The 24,013-nt window shown below is 37.0% G+C and overlaps 1 protein-coding gene across 1 annotated transcript; it reads left to right on the plus strand.

Annotated features, from left to right (window-relative positions):
- The first annotated feature begins 1,705 nt into the window (after window positions 1-1,705).
- OR2T6 (olfactory receptor family 2 subfamily T member 6) lies at window positions 1,706-17,771 on the plus strand. The gene is made up of 3 exons (NM_001005471.2): window positions 1,706-2,014; window positions 10,671-10,824; window positions 13,565-17,771. The coding sequence occupies exon 3, from the start codon at window positions 13,569-13,571 to the stop codon at window positions 14,493-14,495; it is 927 nt and encodes a 308-aa protein (NP_001005471.1). The 5' UTR covers window positions 1,706-2,014; window positions 10,671-10,824; window positions 13,565-13,568; the 3' UTR covers window positions 14,496-17,771.
- The last annotated feature ends 6,242 nt before the right edge of the window (window positions 17,772-24,013 follow it).

Below are 24,013 nucleotides of genomic sequence, written 5' to 3' on the forward strand. Positions count from 1 at the left end.
TGCTGGGGAATGAGGCAAGGGTGCATTTGCAATTCACAATTGTTTTTCTATCTCTTCAGTGCTTCTTTCAGCAATATAAAGTTAAGGCCAGGTACAGTGAGTGCTCACCTGATTTTTGTTTGTATAAAGGTGCTTTTTGTGTGTAGGCAGTTATTAAATTGGTGTCCTTGCAGTGGGAACAATTGGGGGAGCCTTCTATTCTGCCGTCTTGTTCCTCCTCCTTCCAAATTTTGATTCCTTTAAAATAACATAACTGAGCTTATTATGCCTGTCATGATTCTCTTTTGTACATATAAAGTGTTTCCAGTTATGGCTACCTAATATTGTCATTGTCTATGTTTGCATTTTTTACTTTACAACTCATATCCTCTCTTTCTCTATATACACACACACATAAATATATATTTATGTACATATAAATATTTGTTACATTTATATATATGTGTGTATGTGCTAAAACTAAGATGTAGGCATTTTCACATGAGTAGTATCCCTTAAAAAAAACTAATAGAAGTTGCCATGTATATGAATAAGGAAATCTGAGGTGGATGGTGGAAGGCGCAGAGAGAGGCAATCTGAAATGGAAAAGAGTCAAGAATCCATTAAACCTTTAAGTCACATTGTTTCCTTTTCTTGGAACTAACATTGACACAAACTATTTTACATGCTGTTTCGTTTTCTTTAGGTTTTACGATTAAACACATTTAAAGCCCAGTTGATATCTCTACAGTTAAAAATTGAATGTGTATGTTATGATGTGTCACAAGATAAGTAGCAAAATATAACTAACAAAACTTAGCAGGCAAAAAAATAGAATGTTGGAAAACAGCACATATGCACGTGTTAATTTCATCTTTTAAACCAGGCATAGATTTATCATTTAAAGTTGATACATCGGTAATACAATATAATTTACATTCATATATATTACTATGAGAAGACTAAACAAAAATGATTCATAACCGTACACCTTATGCATCAAGAGAATGCAACCAGGCCGGTCACAGTGGCTCACGCCTATAATGCCAGCAGTTTCGGGGGCCGAGGCAGGCAGGTCGCCTGAGCTCAGGAGAATGAGAGCCACCCATCGAGTATAAAGTGATTTTCATCAACTTCATCTCTTATCATGTGTTCAAAAGGGTTTTGTAGCAATAGTTTCCATAAGTTGGATTTTTACACTAACCTGTTCATCAAGAGCCTGCCTGATATATTTTCTTAAAAGATTGTTTGGTACCTTTACTGAATTGGCAATTAAAAGTTTTTCTTAGTGACATTTAGTAAATGAGTGATGTTTATTGGGAAGCTGCTTAATGCAAGAGAAAAATGAAAAGATTAGATCATGACTATTGTTAAAGTGAGAAATTAAATGACCACATAAAAAACTTCTCTTCTCTTCCTTGGGTATTTTTCCAATATTACTCATTTGCCCTCTAGGGAAACAAACAACAGAGTTTTGTGATGAAACATGCATTAAACAGCTGTTCTCAAGCTGTTAATTAAAAACAAAACAAACAAACAAACTGCAGAGGAGGCAGCCCAGGCATTTGTTGTGGAACACATTCTCTGCTTGCCACTTACATGTTTTGAGTACAGTTTTCAGTACCCATCAGAACCAGTTTAGTTGATATTCCTTCTGGATTATTAGAAGGAGTTTTCTCCATGAGAAATCTCAGGATGTTTATGATGTCACATACTAGATTACTTAAACTCTTCCCTCTTTGGTTCCTGGAGCTGTGTGCACAGTGCTGAAGTATGACATCCATGCCTTCAGTTAAGTGGTCATCTTCAAATACCTCTAACTGGCACTCTCTTTTTTTTTTTGAAGCTTTTGCCTTTTAACCTGGATCTCCTCTCATCTTTTCAAGGAAAGATACTAATATGAAGACAGAAAAAAAGAAGATCAAGAAGGTTCCCTTTTATCTCTTGTTTCTAAGGTCTCACCTCTTGTGAAGTTGTTTGTAAACAATTTTGTCTTTACCTAATATTCCTCTCTCTGGATATATTATACCTGTAAGTGATCCACTATCATCAACTTATATCTCCATACTCACAGTAAGAAAGCCATTTGGCTCTCTTAGATAATGTGTGTGAGTAGGAGAAAAACAAATAGGGAAGTTCACTCATTTAAGATAATTCAGATATTTTGTGCATGTTCAGTTCCCACAAATGTGATATCTTCTAAGTTACAGGGAATTAGGTAAGATGATCAAAATAATTAAATCGAATGGGATTGGAAGGTAGGAATTTTGGTGGAGGTATGAGTAATTGGCATGTTTACTTTAAGAAGATTTGATTGAAGGAAATGAATTAAGCATAATCCAGGAGTACAGAGGTAAATACTTTTAACTGAACTAACAAAGGAAAGACTAGACAAAAACTTAGTTGTCAAAACTAAAAACATAGGTTACTGTTGAACTGTTCCTGAATACTGTCAAACTCTTCATTTAGCACACTTAAAAATACATTTTTCAGGGAAAAGTGGAACTTTTACAATTAAATGGAGTCACCAGTTGGGCATCAATAACCATGGAAACACTTGAGGAAGGCTGTACATTTTCTGTTGTTTCATCTATAAAATACCCACTCATGTATGTATTTAATTTTTTTAATTTTTAAATTTTTTTCAACTTTTATTTTAGATTCAGGTGGTACATGTGCAGGTTTGTTAGCTGGTAATATTTTGTGACGGTGAGGTTTGGGGTGTAAATGATCCCATCATACAGGCACCTAGCATATACCCAATAGTTAGTTTTTGATCCTTGCCCCTCTATCTTCCTTCTAGCAGTCTCTATTTTCTGTTGTTGCCATCTTTATGTCTATGAGTATATAAATGTTGAGCTCTTATTCATAAGTGCCACTCACTTATTTAAAACAAACATCACTTTCTTGAAAAAATGTTTAAAAATGGTCAACTACCCTGATAGCATTTTGATAGATTCAGTCACTCTTTTGTGAACTTATTTTATTGATTGCTTTTTGTGACCCATTTTGGACACACTAAGAGACAGTATCTGAAAGACAGGAACATTCTTGCTATCGTGTGATGGTTGGTTGGTCAGATGTTGTCAGTCTGGCTATGTTGAAAGCACGGGCATAACACTTCCTGTGAGGTTAGAAGGGACCAAGTGGCCTACATATTCCTATTGCCTTCTGGACTGCGTCATTAGCTTGCTTTCTTTTCCAAAGATCAGTTTTATTTGCATTTAAGTGGTCTTCAAAGTTAGCCACTTGTCACAATGCAATATCATAGAAGATATCAAAGCAAATCTTCTGTCATTTGTGCTCTCAAATTATTAGTATGAGTTTGAAATGGGAAAAGATAAAGTGTTCTAGGAGTAATCAATTGATGTATAGACCACCTAATACATACAAGGCTGTGCTAATGGCTGTTGATATAAGGACTATTTAGAGGATGACTCTACCCTCAAAGAGCTCATATTATATTTGAGGAGGCAGAAGCATGCAGCAAATAAAAACAACAAAGAGAGTTGTAGAAACAAGTTGAAGAGGTGTCATGAGGGCAAGGGCAGCATGGGGCTCGCCCCTGTCAGAGCGCGTCACAGAAAGACTCAAGATGTCTTCATTAAACTCTGGTAACCATCCGAGTGTGGTCCATCTTATTTGGAAAGGCATGAAATACAAAGTTCATAGTATGTGATGAGTAAAATAAATAATCAGATTCACGGATGCTCTGGTAAAGTGTATTCCTGATTCTTCAATCTCCATTCAGTTCAGCAAAATCTCCTGATTGCTCTACCTTGAGCTTCATTTCTGCCTTTGGGCGCATTTTTTTCCTATCCCAACCCAAAACTTTCCAGGCTGACTACACGTGATTATAATTTATCTATGCACATATATGTTTGTAAACAGGCAGTGCTATGTTTCCTACTTAAAAATATATTATGTATATCTTTACATGAAAAGACAACTAAGCTACACCATTATCAATGAGTATAATGTAAATTGAGCAATGTTTGATTTAGTCAACCCATTAATGTTGATCATTAAGATTGTTTCTAGTTTATTTTCACAATCAATGGCAATAATTTATTTAATGTCTTCATATATTATTCCCACTTCATACTATTTATTTCCTCAGAATAAACTGATGAAAATGGCTAAAAGATGGATTTTTTAAGTTTGCTAAATGCCAGACGCTTACAGAAAAAAATGGTTTCAATTTGTACTTACACTAGCAGTGTGTGATGTTCCCCGCTTCTTCACAATAAAAATCCTAATTTATTGTCATTACTTTAGCATTTTTTCAGAATACAAACAACATACCTTTTCATTAAAGAGACTCAAACATCATAAAAAAGTTTTCATAAAGAAATGTATTTATTTCTTGTACTTAAGTTTTTGAGCCACTTGATCTGGAGTGTGCGTTTTAAAGTCTTACTCTTTACCTCTAAGTTGCAATTTTGTTTTCTTCATATATATAAACTCTACCTTTCCCAGTTATCCGAATTCTCATCTTACTTGTGTGAAACATTTGCGCATATGTGGGTTTTTTTGTATTTTGGCGGGAGACAGCAGTGTTTATTTCCAGATACTCTTCCGTTTAGTTGTTGAGCCTTGTTTTTTCTATTCAGTTACTCATCCTTTACATTTCACACTGGTCCTACAGAGGTCAAAGTCAATTTTTAGCATTGTTTTTCCCCAGACAATTCATATGTGTTTGTCCTTTCAGATCAAATTTATAATCATTTTGACAAATTCCTCTAGAATAATTTTCTATTGCTTTTTAAATTAATACTGAATTATTTAGTTTTATAAATGTTCTCCAAAAGTTTAGCATATTACCAGTTATTTTACCATTTTTATTGTTATTATATAGAAATTTTTTTTGTGTCTGGGTGCGGTAGCTCATGTCTGTAATCCCAATACTTTGGGAGACCAAGACAGGAAGATTTCTTCAGGCCAGAAGTTCAAGACCAGCCTGGACAACATGGCAAGACCCTGTTTCTACAAAAAATACAAAAACATAAGCTGGATATGGTGGTCTGTGCCTATAGTCCCAGCTACGCAGGAGGCTGAGGTAGGACAATTGCTTGAGCCCAAAAGGTTGAGGCTACAATGAGCAGTGATCGTGCCACTGTGCTCCAGCCCGAGGAACAGAGCAAGTTCCTGTCTCAAAAAGGAAAAGAAAAAGAAAAAGAAATATTTTTGTTGATATGTTGTTGATATTATGAGTAACTACTTGTTCATATATGCTGGGGCATTTGACATTGTTATTAAAACCATAGGGGATTCCTGCAAGAAGTATAAGTGACCTGAGACCTGGGTCTACAGTAACCAGATGAAGAGAGAATTGTGCTCCAGGCAGAGAGAGCTCCTGAGTCAGGCTATTTTCTGGGAGAGAGGTGCCAGGAATTGACAGAGTGCTGCAGAGTAGAGAGCTGAGTATCCAGGTCACTTAGGGACATACAAACCACAATCAAAACTTGATCTTTAGCTCACAAACAACCAAGAATCTTTGAAGGGGGATAGAATGGGAAAAGAGGGAGTTTATATGAACAGGTTTGAAGATGTGTTGTTATTAATATACTTCTGAGTTCAATAATTAATATTCATTTGGGAAATATTTATATATGTGAACTTGGTTTATAATTATGAGAGTTTTCTGTCTTTTGAAGGCTATATATATTTATAAAATAAATGATTAATTAATTCCATTTTTTTGTGTACAAAGATTTTTAAATTTTCTGTCCTTAGAAGATTTTTATGGGATGTTTTCTGAACTAGGAATTTTGGGAAAGCAGAATTCCATTAAAACTTTTAAATTGTTCCAAATTTAGAGATCTTCTTTGGTATTTTCTTTTTTTTGATTTATTTTTATCATACTTTAAGTTCTAGGGTACATGTGCACAACGTGCAGGTTTATTACATATTTATACATGTGCCATGTTGGTGTGCTGCACCCGTTAACTCGTCATTTACATTGGGTATATCTCCTAATGCTGTCCCTCCCCCCACCTATATGTGTGTGTATGCATTATATCTACTTATAATTATATATGAATATTAAGAATTTTAACTGTATGTGTGTATGTATTATATCTACTTATAATTATATATGCATATTAAGAATTTTGACTATATTTGTGTGTATGCATTATATCTACTTATAACTATATATGCATATTATGTGTATGCATGCACTCATACAAAACTATACTTTAAAATCGTCTTCTTCATTAAAATTTCAAACTATATTAATATAATGTTAAAATAACTTCTCATACTATAAATATTTTATCACTCTTCTCATATCTGTAGTTGGATCATTTTTCTTACTTTTAATGATGTTTTGTGTCATCCTTTCTGCCCTCAAATATCATTAGCATGGCCAGAAATAGGTCTATTTTGTTTCAGTTTTAAAGAATCAACTTTAAATATTCAGTCTGCTTATTTTAAAATCCATTAATATCTATTTAAGTCTTTTATATGGTCTTTCTCTTATTTAAATGTATTTTGCAGATATTTTTCTAATGTATTGGGTTGAATCTTTATTAACATCACATATTTTTTCTATAAGAATTACATTATTAGAGGTTATAAAATTTTGTCTGGATACATCTTTAGCTATATCCTATAGGCTTCCATACATAATATATTTAATTTAATGAAAGTTTGAACTTCCTTTGGTCTAAGTAGTGTTTTAGGCATACGTTAAAGTATTTCAAATTCTCTGATTTAGATGTGAACCTATTATTATGATTTTAGAATTCTAATATATTTTAGTAAAAAAAAAAAAAGAGATTGTCCTATGGAAGCTAACTGAATATATTAAGCACATAATGCATTTCCATTTAAAATCCAAATTACAGAATTGTTCTCTTTGTTCCATTTATAATATCACCTCATATTGTAGTTTATATATACTATGTCATTCCTTTTTGCATTTTTTTAGTTTTCTTTTCCATTTTGTACATTTTGTTTTGTTTTCTTTGAAGAGTAAATCTACACTTTGAAAGCGGATGTTTACTCTGAATGATGTTGTAGCCATGATTAACCTAGTTGTTTCTATCTCATTTCATCATATGCTTCGCGTTAATTTCCTGTGCTGTTATGCCTTTTTTTCTTTCATTATTTTAAACCATTTTAATAGACACCCAAACACACATGTACACACATACAAACATTCTTTTAACTCATTTTAATACCAGTAACTGATTTGGTTAATCTTTTTCAAAATTGTTCTTATTCTTATAGTTGCCTCTGTGTTGGAGTCATAGGCTCCAGAAAAAAAAAATGTATTTTTTTTTCTGGCTCATTTACTTAGAAAAAATGTTAGATTCTTCATAATTGTATATGTTTTTATTTATAATCAGCCCTTTGCCCTGTATGTTCCAAGAAAGAGGGAATATTGTTAATGGTATCTTCTGCTCCTAGAAAAATGTCTAGTGAATACTGGATCACAATAAATACTTGAATGTATAAATACATAAATGAATGAAAGCTGCTTTCTGGTACTTCTTAATTTTACATTCTATTTAAATAGAATTTGTTTTGCATGTATAGTATTAGCATTCCATTTTCAGACCCTGTTTTCTGTATAGACAGAGATAGGTATGTCTGTGTCTACAGATTAGATGTCATAGATATATATGTATCTATCTATTTCTACATATATATGTCTTTGTTGATAAGAATCTTTTGAGTTCTATGCAATAAGGCAATCATATTTACATTATTTTTAAATATATATATATTTAACCTGAATTCAACGTTTACTGTTAGTAATATTACAGTTTCTTCCCTTTTCTTAATTTTGTTTCATCTACAAAAATATTCAGCTGTATCTTACTGTTTATCCCCCCTAATTTATCTCAGAATGTCTTCCTGTTTGAGCCACACATTACTCTCAACTAAAATGTATCTAATGATATCGATAATAAGTTTTACTGAACAGATAGCACATTCTAGATACTAGTCTAAGAAACTGATGTGTGTGAATGATGTAAACTTTGAAACTTGGGCCCTTTCTATTATTACAGAGCAAATGGGGGAAATGGATACAAAAGTAATTTCAGTATCCGTGGCCACACAATTTGGTGGTGGAGAAAGGGTCAAACCCAAGGAAATTCTGGCTCCAGAGCTCTCTCTTTTTACTGCAACATTGTATATCTTCAGTTTAGACATTTTTTCACTTTTATTTGGAATTTATCAGGAAGACACCTGTGGTCAGTGTGAATTTTAGCCTGTGTAGGTGACTGTGTTTTCCTTTTCTTGTGTTTTGTTTGCATGCAACTATGTTTTTATTAGATGCTGCCAGATGCTTTTACTTCAAATAACTTTCCCAGACACACACAGTGTATTTATTAATGAAATGAAACATCCATATACAGAGTCTTTTTGTTCCTTTCCCAAGTTTTCCTTTTCAATTTTTATTAATAATTCTCTCCTATTTGTGAAATCACTCTTTTTAAAACACTGATTATTTATATTTTGCTTTTGTAATTCCAATACTCCATGTCTACCTTTCTTTCTTTCTTTTTTTTTTTTTTTAGATGGAGACTTGCTTTGTTGCCCAGGCTGGAGTTCAATGGTGCAATCTCAGCTCACTGCAACCCCTGCCTCCCTGGTTCAAGCGATCCTCCCACCTCAGCCTCCAGAGTAGCTGGGACTACAGGCACCCGCCATCATGCCTGGCTAACTTTTGTAGAGACAGGGTTTCACCATGTTGGCCAGGCTGGTCTTGAACTCCTGACCTCAGGTGATCCACCCACTTTGGCCTCCCAAAATGCTGGGATTACAGGGGTGAGCCACCGTGCCCGGCCCATGTCTATCTTTCTTACCATTTAATATCTGCCTTTCTGCATCCTGGAGAGCTACTCAAGTTTTATCCTCCACAACCCTAACAAAATTTTATGTCTTCAGCGCTCTTCTTTGCAGCCTTTCTTGTAACGTCTCATCCTGGAACTGTTTTTAATTGTCATGGGTAAAGCACCGCACTTGCCTGAGTGTGTTCACCCTCTCCTGAAGTGTTTCCTAGTGTTATCATCATGGAGAAAGCACTGCACTAGCCTGAGTGTGCTCATCCTATCCTAATGTGTTTCCTAGTGTTATCATCATGGAGAAAGCACTGCACTAGCCTGAGTGTGCTCATCCTATCCTGGTGTGTTTCCTAGTGTTATCATCATGGAGAAAGCACTGCACTAGCCTGAGTGTGTTCATCCTATCCTGAAGTGTATCCTAGTGTTATCATCATGGAGAAAGCACTGCACTAGCCTGAGTGTGCTCATCCTATCCTGATGTGTTTCCTAATGTTATTGTCATGGGTAAAGCACTGCACTAGCCTGAGTGTGCTCATCCTATCCTGATGTGTTTCCTAGTGTTATCGTCATGGAGAAAGCACTGCACTAGCCTGAGTGTGCTCATCCTATCCTGAAGTGTTTCCTAGTGTTATCATCATGGAGAAAGCACTGCACTAGCCTGAGTGTGCTCATCCTATCCTGATGTGTTTCCTAGTGTTATCATCATGGAGAAAGCACTGCACTAGCCTGAGTGTGCTCATCCTCTCCTGAAGTGTTTCCTAATGTTATTGTCATGGGTAAAGCACTGCACTAGCCTGAGTGTGCTCATCCTATCCTGAAGTGTTTCCTAATGTTATTGTCATGGGTAAAGCACTGCACTAGCCTGAGTGTGCTCATCCTATCCTGATGTGTTTCCTAGTGTTATCGTCATGGAGAAAGCACTGCACTAGCCTGAGTGTGCTCATCCTATCCTGAAGTGTTTCCTAGTGTTATCATCATGGAGAAAGCACTGCACTAGCCTGAGTGTGCTCATCCTATCCTGATGTGTTTCCTAGTGTTATCATCATGGAGAAAGCACTGCACTAGCCTGAGTGTGCTCATCCTCTCCTGAAGTGTTTCCTAATGTTATTGTCATGGGTAAAGCACTGCACTAGCCTGAGTGTGCTCATCCTATCCTGAAGTGTTTCCTAGTGTTATCATCATGGAGAAAGCACTGCACTAGCCTGAGTGTGTTCATCCTATCCTGAAGTGTTTCCTAGTGTTATCATCATGGGTAAAGCACTGCACTAGCCTGAGTGTGCTCATCCTATCCTGATGTGTTTCCTAGTGTTATTGTCATGGGTAAAGCACTGCACTAGCCTGAGTGTGCTCATCCTATCCTGAAGTGTTTCCTAGTGTTATCATCATGGAGAAAGCACTGCACTAGCCTGAGTGTGCTCATCCTCTCCTGAAGTGTTTCCTAATGTTATTGTCATGGGTAAAGCACTGCACTAGCCTGAGTGTGCTCATCCTATCCTGATGTGTTTCCTAGTGTTATCATCATGGAGAAAGCACTGCACTAGCCTGAGTGTGCTCATCCTATCCTGGTGTGTTTCCTAGTGTTATCATCATGGAGAAAGCACTGCACTAGCCTGAGTGTGCTCATCCTCTCCTGAAGTGTTTCCTAATGTTATTGTCATGGGTAAAGCACTGCACTACCCTGAGTGTGCTCATCCTATCCTGATGTGTTTCCTAGTGTTATCATCATGGAGAAAGCACTGCACTAGCCTGAGTGTGCTCATCCTATCCTGAAGTGTTTCCTAGTGTTATCATCATGGAGAAAGCACTGCACTAGCCTGAGTGTGTTCATCCTCTCCTGAAGTGCTCCCTAATGTTATCGTCTGTTTCTGCTCCCATTGACATTGCGGGAAGCTCCTTCTGATTCATCAGGTCCTCACGAGGAGCTCGTTAGATGAGATGCTACCCATTAGATGGAGGATCTGCATTTTGGGTGGACAGTGGACAGAATAAATCTTCAGCCCGTTTTTCCCCTCACCACCTGATCCACTCAGCCTCTTCTAAACCGGTAAGCAAAACTGTGCAGTTATGTTTGAATTTTTGTTGAAAGAGAAGGAAAAACTTAGAAAGGAAAAGTTTCGATTTCTTGTTAGCTAGCATTTTTCCTTGTGTCTGTGTATTTCTCACTTTCCTAAATGAAGTCTCCTGTTCACTGTGCTGAGAACACTCCTTCAAGAACCTCCTTTGTTGGTCTACTTGCAAAACTCTACCCTTTTTCTCCATAATTTCTTGGCTAGGGGAGGGTAAGAATGGGGAAAGCAGAGAAGCAGACCCTGCTGCAGAGAAAATCTGGCACAGAGACACACAGCCAATCCTTTTTCTGAGTGGTTCACGCCATGAGAGACCTTGTACATGTGCTGGCCAAAACCGAAGAGGCTTTTCTCTACTGAGGAGTCGCTAGGGTTCATCTTTTTCTAGTACTCAAGATTTTTAATTTTCAGTATAGATAAAAAATTGAATCGTTTCTGTGGTTTCGTGAGCATGTACTGAGAAGTTTGAAACAGGCCACCCTGGAGAATATGTAGACACTTGCAAATTATTTTTTAGGCCCTGTTGTTCATGTAATGCTATTACCTAACATCTTGATAGTCACTGTTTAATCTGAGAGTGAACTTAGGAAATGACAGTCTTCTTCCTGGAATCAGTTTTCCCAGAAACTAGTCTTTTACGAGTCCATATCTTTTGCTAAAAGATTCCTCTAATGGCAATTATTTGCATGATCAGGAAGAATGTTCTGAGATTTTATCATTTTAAATAACTCACAAGACAATGCACAAGCCTGCAGCCCTGCCTAGTTAGTGTTCAACAGGTGACACATAATTTTAGAGTGTGTCCCCTAGTGCTCAACAGGTGACACGTGCTTTTTAGAGTGTGTCTCCTATTGTTTGTGCCTGTGGTATACACACAGTAGCTAAGAAATGCAATATTGCCTTCGGCAAGATATTGTGTGTCCTCATTATCAGCATTCTCTCACAAGCGCAACAGCTTATCATAGATTAGCATTTGAATTTACTCAGCTGTGGTCCTTTGCATATGTTACATGACGTTTGATCATGACAACATCCCGTAAGTTTCCTGTGATATCCTAATTATAGATCAGGAAACGGGCTCTAAGTTTTTAAGTAATGTGCATTAGGGCACATTGCAAATGATGAAGCCAGAACCCCAAACAAGCATTCTCAGTGCAAGTATTTCAGAATTGAGCAACCCCCTACTCCAAAACGGTGTTCTGGAAGCTGGCTGCCGGCTCTGTGCACTTACTGCTACATCATCTGCCTCTCTGTCTGGTGTAACACCTGAGTGCACACAGAAGGGTCCAAGAATTCGAAATTCAAGTTGGATTTCAAAGAGTGTTAAACCTGATGAGGAAACTTTTAAAAGATATTCTTATATTCATCGTGTATTCAAGATGTGAATGCACCACCCATAGCTATCTAAGATTGTGTATGGTTTCCTGCCTCTGGCCTACAAGATCTTTTATGCATTTCCTTCAGTCACCATCTCCAAGGCTTACGACTGACCAACCAAATCAGGAAGTTTTGAGTGAAATGAGGAGGACATTAGGACAGAAAGCACAACCTGGTCTATCCCAGTCTAAGCCTTCAAGACCCACAAAAATACAACACTAAGCAAAAACAAAAAATGACTCAAATGTACCAAAGAGATAAAAAGAAAAAAACAGAAAGATCATAATGAACATGTTAAAGTTAAACTGTTACATGTTACAAACTGCAACTCAATTCTACTGATAACACTTAGAAAATAATTCTGTTCTCTTTACCCCGGCCTGCATACCTTGAAGAACTGATCACTAATATCTCACTGTCTTCATCACTTGCAATTCTCTTCCTGAACTGACTTTTGTTTCCTGACTATCCCAAACTCCTTTTTGCTTTAGGGATGTCACATTTGCTATTTATTTTGTAGGAACACCCTAGCCCTAAATCTTCACATGAATTTTCTTTTATCTTTCATTGTCTGTGTTGAAGTTTTCCGCAAAGCCCTTATTTGCATTACCTGGAACCATGGTTCCCACTTTTGATTTACTGTGCTTATTTCATAACTAGAATGTAAGTCACATGATTCATATTCTTTTTATTTACTACAGTATCCCCAGAGCTTAGAACACTGCACAGTACTCTCTCCATAAATAAAGATTAAGTGTGCAAATGGATGAGAAATTGACAAATGGTGAGGGAACACATAAGAATGACCAATGATCAGGCAGATAATGTAATCATGTTTATTACAGTTCAACATAGTTTTCAGTTGTGTCTACAATTTATGGTTATTTCTGGATGAGACCAATAGGTTTTAAAATTATCACAGAAATTCCCAATTTGAGCCAATGGCCTATTGAATTATTTTATTGGGTTGTTTGAATTGATTGGATCAATAGTCTTTCAGTTGTATCCACATTTTAAGTAAATGGAGCCAACTCCAAATGAAGGATCCTCTCTAGGGCCCAGATTTTCTTCAATCATAATGAAACTCCCTTAAGCCAAGTATCAATTGCCAAACATTCATTCATCTTCATCCCATGGGGTCCTAATGTTGAAATTATTCTTCATCAAAAAGAAATAGCCAAGAAAAAGGAAGCTACAAATCTACCACACCAAAAAAAGTTTTATATTAGCTACATAAAAGATTTTAATCTAATAATGTTTACACAGACATGTTTAAGTGATTTATCTTTTGTCATTTTCATTGACCCTGCTTCTCTTCTTATGCCTCCATTTCAAACTCAGTACCATGAATGAAAACAATGAAACCTTGACCAGAGGCTTTACCCTCATGGGGCTCTTCACTCACAATAAATGCTCAGGATTCTTTTTCGGTGTCATTTGTGCCGTCTTCTTCATGGCCATGATAGCTAATGGGGTCATGATCTTCCTGATTAACATAGACCCTCATCTCCACACCCCCATGTACTTCCTCCTCAGCCACCTCTCCGTCATTGACACATTATACATCTCCACCATTGTGCCCAAGATGCTGGTAGATTATCTCATGGGCGAGGGGACCATCTCTTTCATCGCCTGCACTGCTCAGTGCTTTCTCTACATGGGCTTTATGGGGGCTGAATTCTTCCTGCTGGGGCTCATGGCCTATGACCGCTACGTGGCCATCTGCAACCCACTGCGCTATCCTGTCCTCATCAGCTGGCGGGTCTGCTGGATGATCCTGGCCAGCTCTTGGTTCGGTGGGGCTTTGGACAGTTTTCTCCTCACCCCCATTACCATGAGTCTCCCGTTCTGTGCCTCTCACCAAATCAATCACTTTTTCTGTGAGGCACCCACCATGCTGAGGCTGGCCTGTGGGGACAAAACCACCTATGAAACAGTGATGTATGTGTGCTGCGTTGCAATGCTGCTGATCCCCTTCTCGGTGGTGACTGCATCCTACACCAGGATTCTCATCACAGTGCATCAGATGACATCGGCTGAAGGGAGGAAGAAGGCCTTTGCCACCTGCTCTTCACACATGATGGTGGTGACATTGTTCTATGGGGCTGCCTTGTATACGTATACGCTTCCCCAATCTTACCACACCCCAATCAAAGATAAGGTCTTCTCTGCCTTTTATACCATCCTCACACCCTTATTAAACCCTCTCATCTACAGTCTGAGGAACAGGGATGTGATGGGTGCCTTGAAGAGAGTTGTGGCAAGATGTTAGGGGACATGTGGTGTGATGAGGAAAGAATTCTGATGGTCTAAAACCTCCACATCCTGTTCAGGCATATATGGGGTCGTATCATGGATACCACGGATGATGCTGACAGGAACTTTCAATACCAGCTGTGCTAAATGGTGTATCAACAGTACCCCCATCAAAAATGGGAAGTTGCTGTAACAGTCACACACAAATAATGCCAGAGTTCTAGAAACACCACTCATGTTTATTCTTCTTTTGTTTCTACTGATTCCAAGTCTTCTCTCATATCACTTCTCTGATTGCAGTTTGTGTATATGAATGCCCCAAAATGTTGAGTTAATATTACATATTCTGCCCATTTTCAATGGCTCCATAAGAACTGGTGATTTTGACTATATTGTTTAAACAATCCATCAATTGGCTTGTCAAAGATTTAGGGATGCCAAGGTTTGAAAGACATATGAAAGAGACTAAACTGTCATAAAACTGTAAAAGAAAAATCTACATAGACTTACACCAAGATTTAGAAAATCCAAATATCTCTTCTTTGAGTAACCACTGAAAACACTCCTCCTTTATCTACATTTGGAGCTAAAAAAAAATGAATCATGTGTTTTGTAGAAATGCCAAGACTAAATCTTTATGGGGGAGGGAGTCTGTAATGTTAGTTTTTTAATATGGTAACTAACTGTTACATTGGAAGACACAGCAAAAGGTAGTTGAGAAAGAAATGCCCTATTAACTAGCAGTTTCTGTAATCACTTTACAGCTTCTTCTCCAATTCACTAGCATTTTTAAACTTTTGGGATCCCTGTGCAGATGTTAGTGTTGTTGGAGCTATTTCTACCAACTTTTCTCTTTTAAAAAAGTAGTAGACAGCGTCATATTTTTCCTTCTCTATAGCACTGGCTTTTGCATTGGATAGCATTGCAAAGTGGGAAGGAAATACCCAGCTTTTCATGTGAAAATTAGAACTGGAAACCCTTGTAAATGACTTAGTGTCATGAGCGGTGCAAAGTTAGAAATAACCAGGACCACAAATGCTTGTGTCTTTCCACAATGTCAGGATTTTATTGATGCTGTTTCAATCACAAAAGCCACCATGAGCTACATAGAGTTCCCAAGGGGGCAACTCTCCTTAGTACTTTTCATTCACTTGGTAGTCAGCGTTGTGGGCACACAGACTCAAGCCACTCCACAAGTCAGTCAATATTGCAAACCATACATAATAGTATACTTAATCAATATGTAAATGTTATAGGTTTAACATTTCACAACAAACAAACTAACATTTAACACAAGAAGGAAAAGGGATAGGAGAAAGGATCACAAACCAGTCCAAGGGGAGAGAAGAAGAGAAAAGCGGTCCTGGTCCAGGCCGGGTGGTCCACTGGTCTTGCAAGAAAGAGTCTCTGAGGTGGCAGAGACTTCAGCAGCAGATGCCAAGTTTTCATCACCAGTGACTGCAAGATGGCATCAGTTAACATGGCTATTTCGAGCTGCTGAAGGCCTGCTCTTTTACGGTTACAGAGTCCTCCCATGAGAACTGATCATGGAAGAGTGTGCTTGTTTGAGTCCTTATCTGGTTGGATACAGTCTTTTATTTTTTAATTTGTTTAGTAGACAACACATCTTATCCTTGTTGGAAAAGTGCTCTATGAAATATAAAATAAAGTCTTTTTCTAAGATGGAGTTGGCTACGTCAAGGGTGTTCTATACACTTAGTATGATTTCTTTTTAAGTGGCTAAGAACTGGAGAAAAAATGTTTGGCCTAAACTGTAGACACAGTAGTAAAAACCAGGACCACATCCCAAACCCCTCAGGCCACCTCTACAAGCTGCTGTGCCAGGCTTTGTACTGTCATTGGTTTAACAAAATCCAAGCCGGGTTCAGTGACGTTCTGCAGCGACTGAAGATGGTGGGTGAATGAAAGATAGCCACACCTCCTTTTGTACTGAAAAAAGCTGCTGGGTATTTGACAAAATATTTAGCCAAATAGAACAGCTCAACTTGGCATTGGGCTGAGCACTTAATCAAGAAAATAGACCAGGTCTTGCCTAACAGAGCAGGGTTTTCAGTTGAAATCCAGGAACAGCTTTTCCGAGGCTCTTCAGCTGGAGGCTCAACATCTCCTCAATCTTGTCAGACTGTCTTGGACAACAGTATGTGCCAGATAATATGAGGGAGCATTTCCAACCAAGAAGATGTTGAGGTACAAAAAACACAACAAATCAGAAGAGAAGGAGAGGGCTGGCCCATAAGAACTGATCATCAGTTTCAGCTCCACGTAAACACCATGTGAATTTCTGTCAATCATACAATGCTTCTGAGGACCAACTTTCTTTTTTATAAAATTTGACTTAATACATACTTTTTTTCTTGTAAGATTTTAAAATCAAGTAAAATGATGAATGTAATAAAACCTTATAAATGCTAGTCATTATTTCAGCTATTCTTTGAAAAGATGATTGACTTTTATATTCAGTTTTTACAATTTCTTTCATTTCTATCGATCCGTTACAGACAAAAGCACACTCTCTTGTACAGCCACTTTGGAATACAGTTTGACAGTTTCTTACAATATTGAACATAATCTTATCATATGATCTGGCAATTGTGTTTCTTGGTGTTAACTCTGCTGATTTGGAAACTTATGTTCACAGTAGATTTTTCATACATTCCAAAACATAGACTTAATCAGAAAGTCCTTCAGAAATTAAATGGATAAAGTGTGGCACATGCATACAGTGGAATATTATTTAGTGTTAAAAATAAATGATTTATCAAGCCATTGGAAGACATGGAGGAAATTTAAATGTATATTGTGAAGTGAAAGAAGCCAATCTGAAAAGGCTGCATACTGTGTGATTCCAGCTGCATGACATCCTGGAAAAAACAAAACTGTGGATACAGGAAAAAGATAAGTGTTGCAAGGGGTCTGGGGGAAGTATGGATGGATGGACAGAGCACAGAGGACTTTTAGAGCAGTGAAACTATTGTATATGACACAGTAATTAATGTTACATAAGATTATGCTACATGGTACTATGTATTTGTGGAAAAAAACATACAACTCTGGAACAGAAAGACTCATCCTTATGTAAAATATGAACTATTAATAATAATGTATCAAAATTGATTCATCTATTGTAACAAATGTACTACACTAATGCCAGATGTTAACAATAGGGAAAAGAGAGGGGATATATAAAAACTTTCTGAACTATCCATTCAATTTTTTGGTAAACCTCATTGTTCTAAAATATAAAATTTCATTTTAAAACAGTTTTCTAACAATTATATAACTCTCTGATACTATATTTCTTGATTGGATTTCAGTCAATAAATCATTAGGAGTTCTCATCAAAGAATTGTGGTGTTTGTAGAAGTTAGGATGGGGGATGGGGATGAAATAATAAAAGTTTGTTAATCTAATTGGTCTTGTTTTGGGAGTTTGGTTATATGTTGTTTTGAAGACGCGGGAGCAGTGAGGCTAATATTTCCTGGAAAGTTAGAAGAACATGGGCCAAATATTAATTAGTTTTATGCTTGGGGCATATGGTAGGAGCCCCTCATTCCAAGTTAGCATTCCTTCCCTGTTCTGCATATATAAGAAAATACTGGAAATGCATCATCTGTATATGGAAGAGGGGGGGAAATGTCTATATTACCTCACACCAGAAAACCAAAACCTATTAAAAGAGGGATGCTGCTTCAGGAGAAGGCCTTTTTAGAGTGAGTGAATTTTTTTTAAAGAATTTGATTATTCATGACCCATCATTGGGAATTTCATCTCGAGTTCAGATATTCAGCCTTTGATGGAATGTGAAGCCACTTGTGGGCCATTTGGCCATCCCTGCAGGAAAATCAGTTCAAAACTCAGCCTGACTCTGCGGGAAACCTCTTAGAAACATGTGCTTCCCCTGGTTGGAACCAGCTAGCAAAATGCATAATTTGTGCTCAAAGAAGAATTAGTAATGGCTAGAAGAGAGATTAATTTTTCTTTTAGCTCTCCTAGTAACTCAGTCTACCATTTGGATGACTCTGTTGCCTTAGCCTGAGTTTCTACTTAAGTGAATAGGGAATACTCTCCTAGATATGGTTGTTGATTCCCTCAGAACAAAATTAACACGGCAACTATCAAGTCATGCACAACCCTTTTGGAAACTTGAGGAAGAACGTGAGCAACATTTCTAAAGGTTTTTGTCACTATTCTGAAATTCATAATGTCATAAATATATGTCATTTTATTACTAGACTTTAGAAATATGTAGGCGTTGTGTAGCACAGAGTGATTTTTGATATGAATTGATGTTCTCAAGAAGTCAATGGTTTTACATTAAAAAATGCAGGACTGTGCATGGGAAGGAGTGTAGGTGGAATGATTGGGGACCATAGAGCAACAGGAGTCTGGCGCCTTCTAGGACCTATCCAGAGATATTCAGCCTGACAAGCATCAGGCATTCACAATGATGCTCAAATGAAATGTGAAGAATTATTAATGCAGGAGAAGAATTCAAGGTAGTTTTGTCAAACTGATGAGTTTTTGGTACATGCTAGTTGCAAAGATCACTGCTAGGTTTTTGGATTGCTGTGCTGAGGATTTTTCTGAGGTCACATGTAGGCCCTGTGGGAAGAGTGATGTAAACTAATTAGCCAGGATGGACACAGGTGGGTGCCTCGGGATGAGTTCTAGGACGTGGGGTGCCACATTGGCTGTAGTCAGCTCTTACCCCCAAGTGCCATCTAATGGTTTATAGCATAGCAGTTGCACAGCAAGAAGAAATAAAAAGCATCTAAATAAGGAAAAGAAGAAGGCAAACTATGTCTGTTTGCTGATAATATGATTCAATACCCCCCAAAAACCAAAAGACTTTGCCAAAAGATTCCTGGAACTGAGAAACAACTTCAAGTAAAGACTCAGGATACAAAATTAATATACAAAATTCAGTGACATTTCTAAACACCAAAAACATTCAAGCTGAGATCCAAATCAAGAACTCAATTCAATTTACAACAGCCACAAAAATAAAAAATCTAGGAATGCAGTTAGCCACAGAGGTGAAAGATCTCTGCTAGGAGAACCACAAAACACTGCTGAAAGAAAGTAAATAAGACTCAAACAAACAGATAAACATTCCATGCTCACTGGTTGGAAGAATTAATCTCATTAAAGTGGCCCAAGGAAATCTACAGATTTAATGTTATTCAGAAAAAACTACAGACTTTATTTTTCACAGAATTAGAGGCAACTATTATAAAATTAAGATGAAACAAAAAAAGAGACCAAAAAGCCAAAGTAACCCTAAGCAAAAAGAATAATGCTAAAGATATCACAATACCTGGCTTCAAACTATACTATAATGTTCCAGTAACCAAAGCAGATGGTACTGGTATAAAAACAGACACATAGACCAAATTGAATCAAATAGAGAACAAATAAATAAAGCCACAGACCTCCACCCTGTTTATCTTTGACAAAGTTGACAAAAGCAAGCAATGGGGAAAGGACTCCCTACCTAATAAATGGTGCTGTAATAGCTGGATAGCCATATGCAGAAGAATGAAAGTGGACCCCTGCCTTTCACTATATACAAAAATTAAATCATGATGAAATAAAGATTTAAATGTAATAACTCAAACTAAGAAGCCTAGAAGGAAGCCTACAAAACCCCATTCTGAACATTGGCCATGGGAAATAATGTATGACTAAATCCTCAAAAGCAATTGCAAGCAAAACAAAAATTGACAAGAGGGACCTAATTAAACTAAAGAGCTTTTGCACAGCAAAAGAAACTATCAACTGGGTAAGCAAACAACCTATAGAAAGGGATAAAATAGATTTTCTAGTTTATTTGCATAGAGATGTTTATAGTATTCTCTGATGGTAGTTTGTACTTCTGTGAGATCAGTGGTGATATTCCCTTTATCATATTTTACTGTGTCTATTTGATTCTTCTCTCTTTTCTTCTTTATTAGTCTGCCTAGCATTCTATCTGTTTTGTTAATCTTTTCAAAAAACCAGCTCCTGGATTCACTGAATTTTTGAAGGGATTTTTTGTGTCTCTATCTCCTTCAATTCTGCTCTGATCTTAGTTATTTCTTGTCTTCTGCTAGCTTTTGAATTTGTTTGCTCCTGCTTCTCTAGTTCTTTTAATTGTGATGTTAGGGTGTCAATTTTATATCTTTCCCACTTTCTCCTGTGGGCATTTAGTGCTATAAATTTACCTCTAAACACTGCTTTAGCTGTGTTCCAGAGATTCTGGTACATTGTGTCTTTGTTCGCATTGGTTTCAAATAACTTACTTATTTCTGCCTTTATTTCATTAATTACCCAGTGGTCATTCAGAAGCAGGTTGTTCAGTTTCCATGTGGTTGTGTGGTTTTGAGTGAGTTTTGTAATCCTGAGTTCTAATCTGATTGCACTGTGGTCTGAGAGACTGTTACGATTTTCATTCTTTTGCATTTGCTGAGGAGTGTTTTACTTCCAATTATGTGGTTGATTTTAGAGTAAGTGTTATGTGGTGCTGAGAAGAATGTATATTCTGTTGATTTGGGGTGGAGAGTTCTGTAAATGTCTATTAGGTCTGCTTGGTCCAGAGCTAAGTGCAAGTCCTGAATATCCTTGTTAATTTTCTATCTCATTGATCTGTCTAATATTGACAGTGGGGTGTTAAAGTCTCCCACTATTATTGTGTGGGAGTTTAAGTCTCTTTGTAGGTCTCTAAGAACTTGCTTTATGAATCAGAGTGCTCCTGTATTGGGTGCATATATATTTAGGATGGTTAGCTCTGCTTATTGCATTGATCCCTTTACCATTATGTAATGTCCTTCTTTGTCTTTTTTGATCTTTGTTGGTTTGAAGTCTGTTTAATCAGAGACTAGGATTGTAAACCCTGAATTTTTTTTTTTTTTTTTTTTTTTTGCTTTCCATTTGCTTGGTAAATCTTCCTCCATCCATTTATTTTGAGCCTATGTATGTCTTTGCACATGAGATGGGTCTCCTGAATACAGCACACTGATGGGTCTTTACTCTATCCAATTTGCCAGTCTGGGCCTTTTAATTGGGGCATTTAGCCCATTTACATTTAAGGTTAATATTGTTATGTGTGAATTTGATCCTGTCATTATGATGTAAGCTGGTTATTTTGCCCATTAGTTAATGCAGTTTCTTCATAGTGTCAATGGCCTTTACATTTTTGTTTGTTTGGGCAGTGGCTGGTACAGGTTTTTCTTTTTCATATTTAGTGCTTCCTTCAGGAGCTCTTGTAAGGCCGGCGTGGTAGTGACAAAATCTCTCAGCATTTGCTTGTCTGTAAAGGATTTTATTTCTCCTTCACATATGAAGCTTAGTTTGGCTGGATATGAAATTCTGGGTTGAAAATTTTTTGATTTAAGAATGTTGAATATTGACCCACACTCTCTTCTGGTTTGTAGGGTTTCTGCAGAGAGATCCACTCCTAGTCTGATGGGCTTCCTTTTGTGGGTAACCCGATCTTTCTCTCTGGCTGCCCTTAACATTTTTTCCTTCATTTCAACCTTGGAGACTCTGACAATTACATGTCTTGGGGTTGCTCAATCATCTAATCTTTGACAAATCTGACAGAAACAAGCAATAGAGAAAGGATTCCCTATTTAATAAATGGTGTTAGGAAAACTAGCTAGCCATATGCAGAAAATTGAAACTGGATCCCTTCCTTACACCTTATACAAAAATTAACTCAAGATGAATTACAGATTTAAATGTAAGACCTAAAACCATAAAAACCTTAGAAGAAAACCTAGGCAATACCATTTAGGACATAGGCGTGAGCAAACACTTCATGACTAAAACACCAAAACCAATTGCAACAAAAGCAAAAATTGACAAATGGGATCTAATTAAATTAAAGAGCTTCTGCACAGCAAAAGAAACTATCCTGAGAGTGAACAGGCAACCAATAGAATGGGAGAAAATGTTTGCAATCTATCCATCTGACAAAGGGCTAATATCCAGAATCTACAAGGAACTTAAACAAATGTACAAGAGAAAAACAAACAACCCCATCAGAAAGTGGGCAAAGGATATGAACGGACACTTTTCAAAAGAAGACATTTATATGGCCAACAAACATATAATAAAATGCTCATCATCACTGGTCATTAGAGAAATGCAAATCAAAACCACTGTGAGATACCATCTCACACCAGTTAGAATGGTAATCATCAAAAAGTCAGGACACAACAGATGCTGGAGAGGATATGGAGAAATAGGAACACTTTTACACTGTTGGTGGGAATGTAAATTAGTTCAACCATTGTGGAAGACAGTGTGGCAATTCCTCAAGGATCTAGGACTAGAAATACCATTTGACCCAGCAATCTCATTACTGGGTATATACCCAAAGGATTATAAATCATTCTACTATAAGGACACATGCACACGTATGTTTATTGCAGTACTATTCACAATAGCAAAGACTTGGAACCAACACAAATGCCTGTCAATGTCAGACTAGATAAAGAAAATGTGGCAGATATATGCCATGGAATACTATGTAGCCATTTAAAAAAATGAGTCAATGTCCTTTGCAGGGACATGGATGAAGTTGGAAACCATCATTCTCAGCACACTAACACAGGAACAGAAAACCAAATGCCACATGTTCCCACTCATAAGTGGAAGTTGAACAATGAGAACATATGGGCACAGGGAGTGGAACATCACACACTGGGGCCTGTTGAAGTGTGGGGGGCAAGGGGAGAGAGAGCATCAGGAGAAATACTTAATGTAGATGATGGGTTGATGGGTGCAGCAAACCACCATGGCATATGTATACTTATGTAACAAACCTGCACATTCTGCACATGTACCCCAGAACTTAAAGTATAATTTTAAAAATTCGTTTAATCCAAAAAAGAAAGGGATAAAATATTCACAAACTGTGTATGCCAAAATGGTCTAAGATCTGCAGTATATAAGGAACTTAAATAATTCAACAAGCAAAAACAAACACCGCCATTAAAAAGTGGCCAATACCATGAATAAACACTTCTCAAAATAACACATATAATTGGCCACAAACATGAAAAAATGTTCAACATCACTAATCATCATAGAAATGCAAATCAAATCACAATGAGATACCATCTCATACCAGTCAAAATGGTCATTATTAAAAAGCCAAAAACAACAGATGCTGCTGAGGTTGTGGAGAAAAGGTAATGTTTATACACTGTTGGTGGGAATGTAAATCAATTCAGCCAATGTAGAAAACAGTTTGTAGGTTTTTCAAAGAACTTAAAACAGAGCTACCATTTGACCCAGTAATCCCATTACTGGGTATATACCCAAAGAAAAATAGATCATTATGCCAAAAAGACCCATGTACTTATATATTCAACACCATGCTATTCACAATAGCAAGACATGGAATCAACCTAGTTGCCCATCAATGGTAGATTGGATAAAGAAAATGTGGCAAAAAAAAAAAAAAAAAAGAAAATGTGGCACATATACACCACGAAATACTATGAAGCCATTAAAAAAGTATGAAAT

Source organism: Homo sapiens, chromosome 1 (genome assembly GCF_000001405.40).
Source record: "Homo sapiens chromosome 1, GRCh38.p14 Primary Assembly".
Lineage (NCBI taxonomy): Eukaryota > Metazoa > Chordata > Mammalia > Primates > Hominidae > Homo > Homo sapiens.

Excerpts from the sequence above, each read along its gene's own strand:
- OR2T6 (NM_001005471.2), top strand. The coding sequence starts at position 13,569 with ATGAATGAAAACAATGAAACCTTGACCAGAGGCTTTACCCTCATGGGG.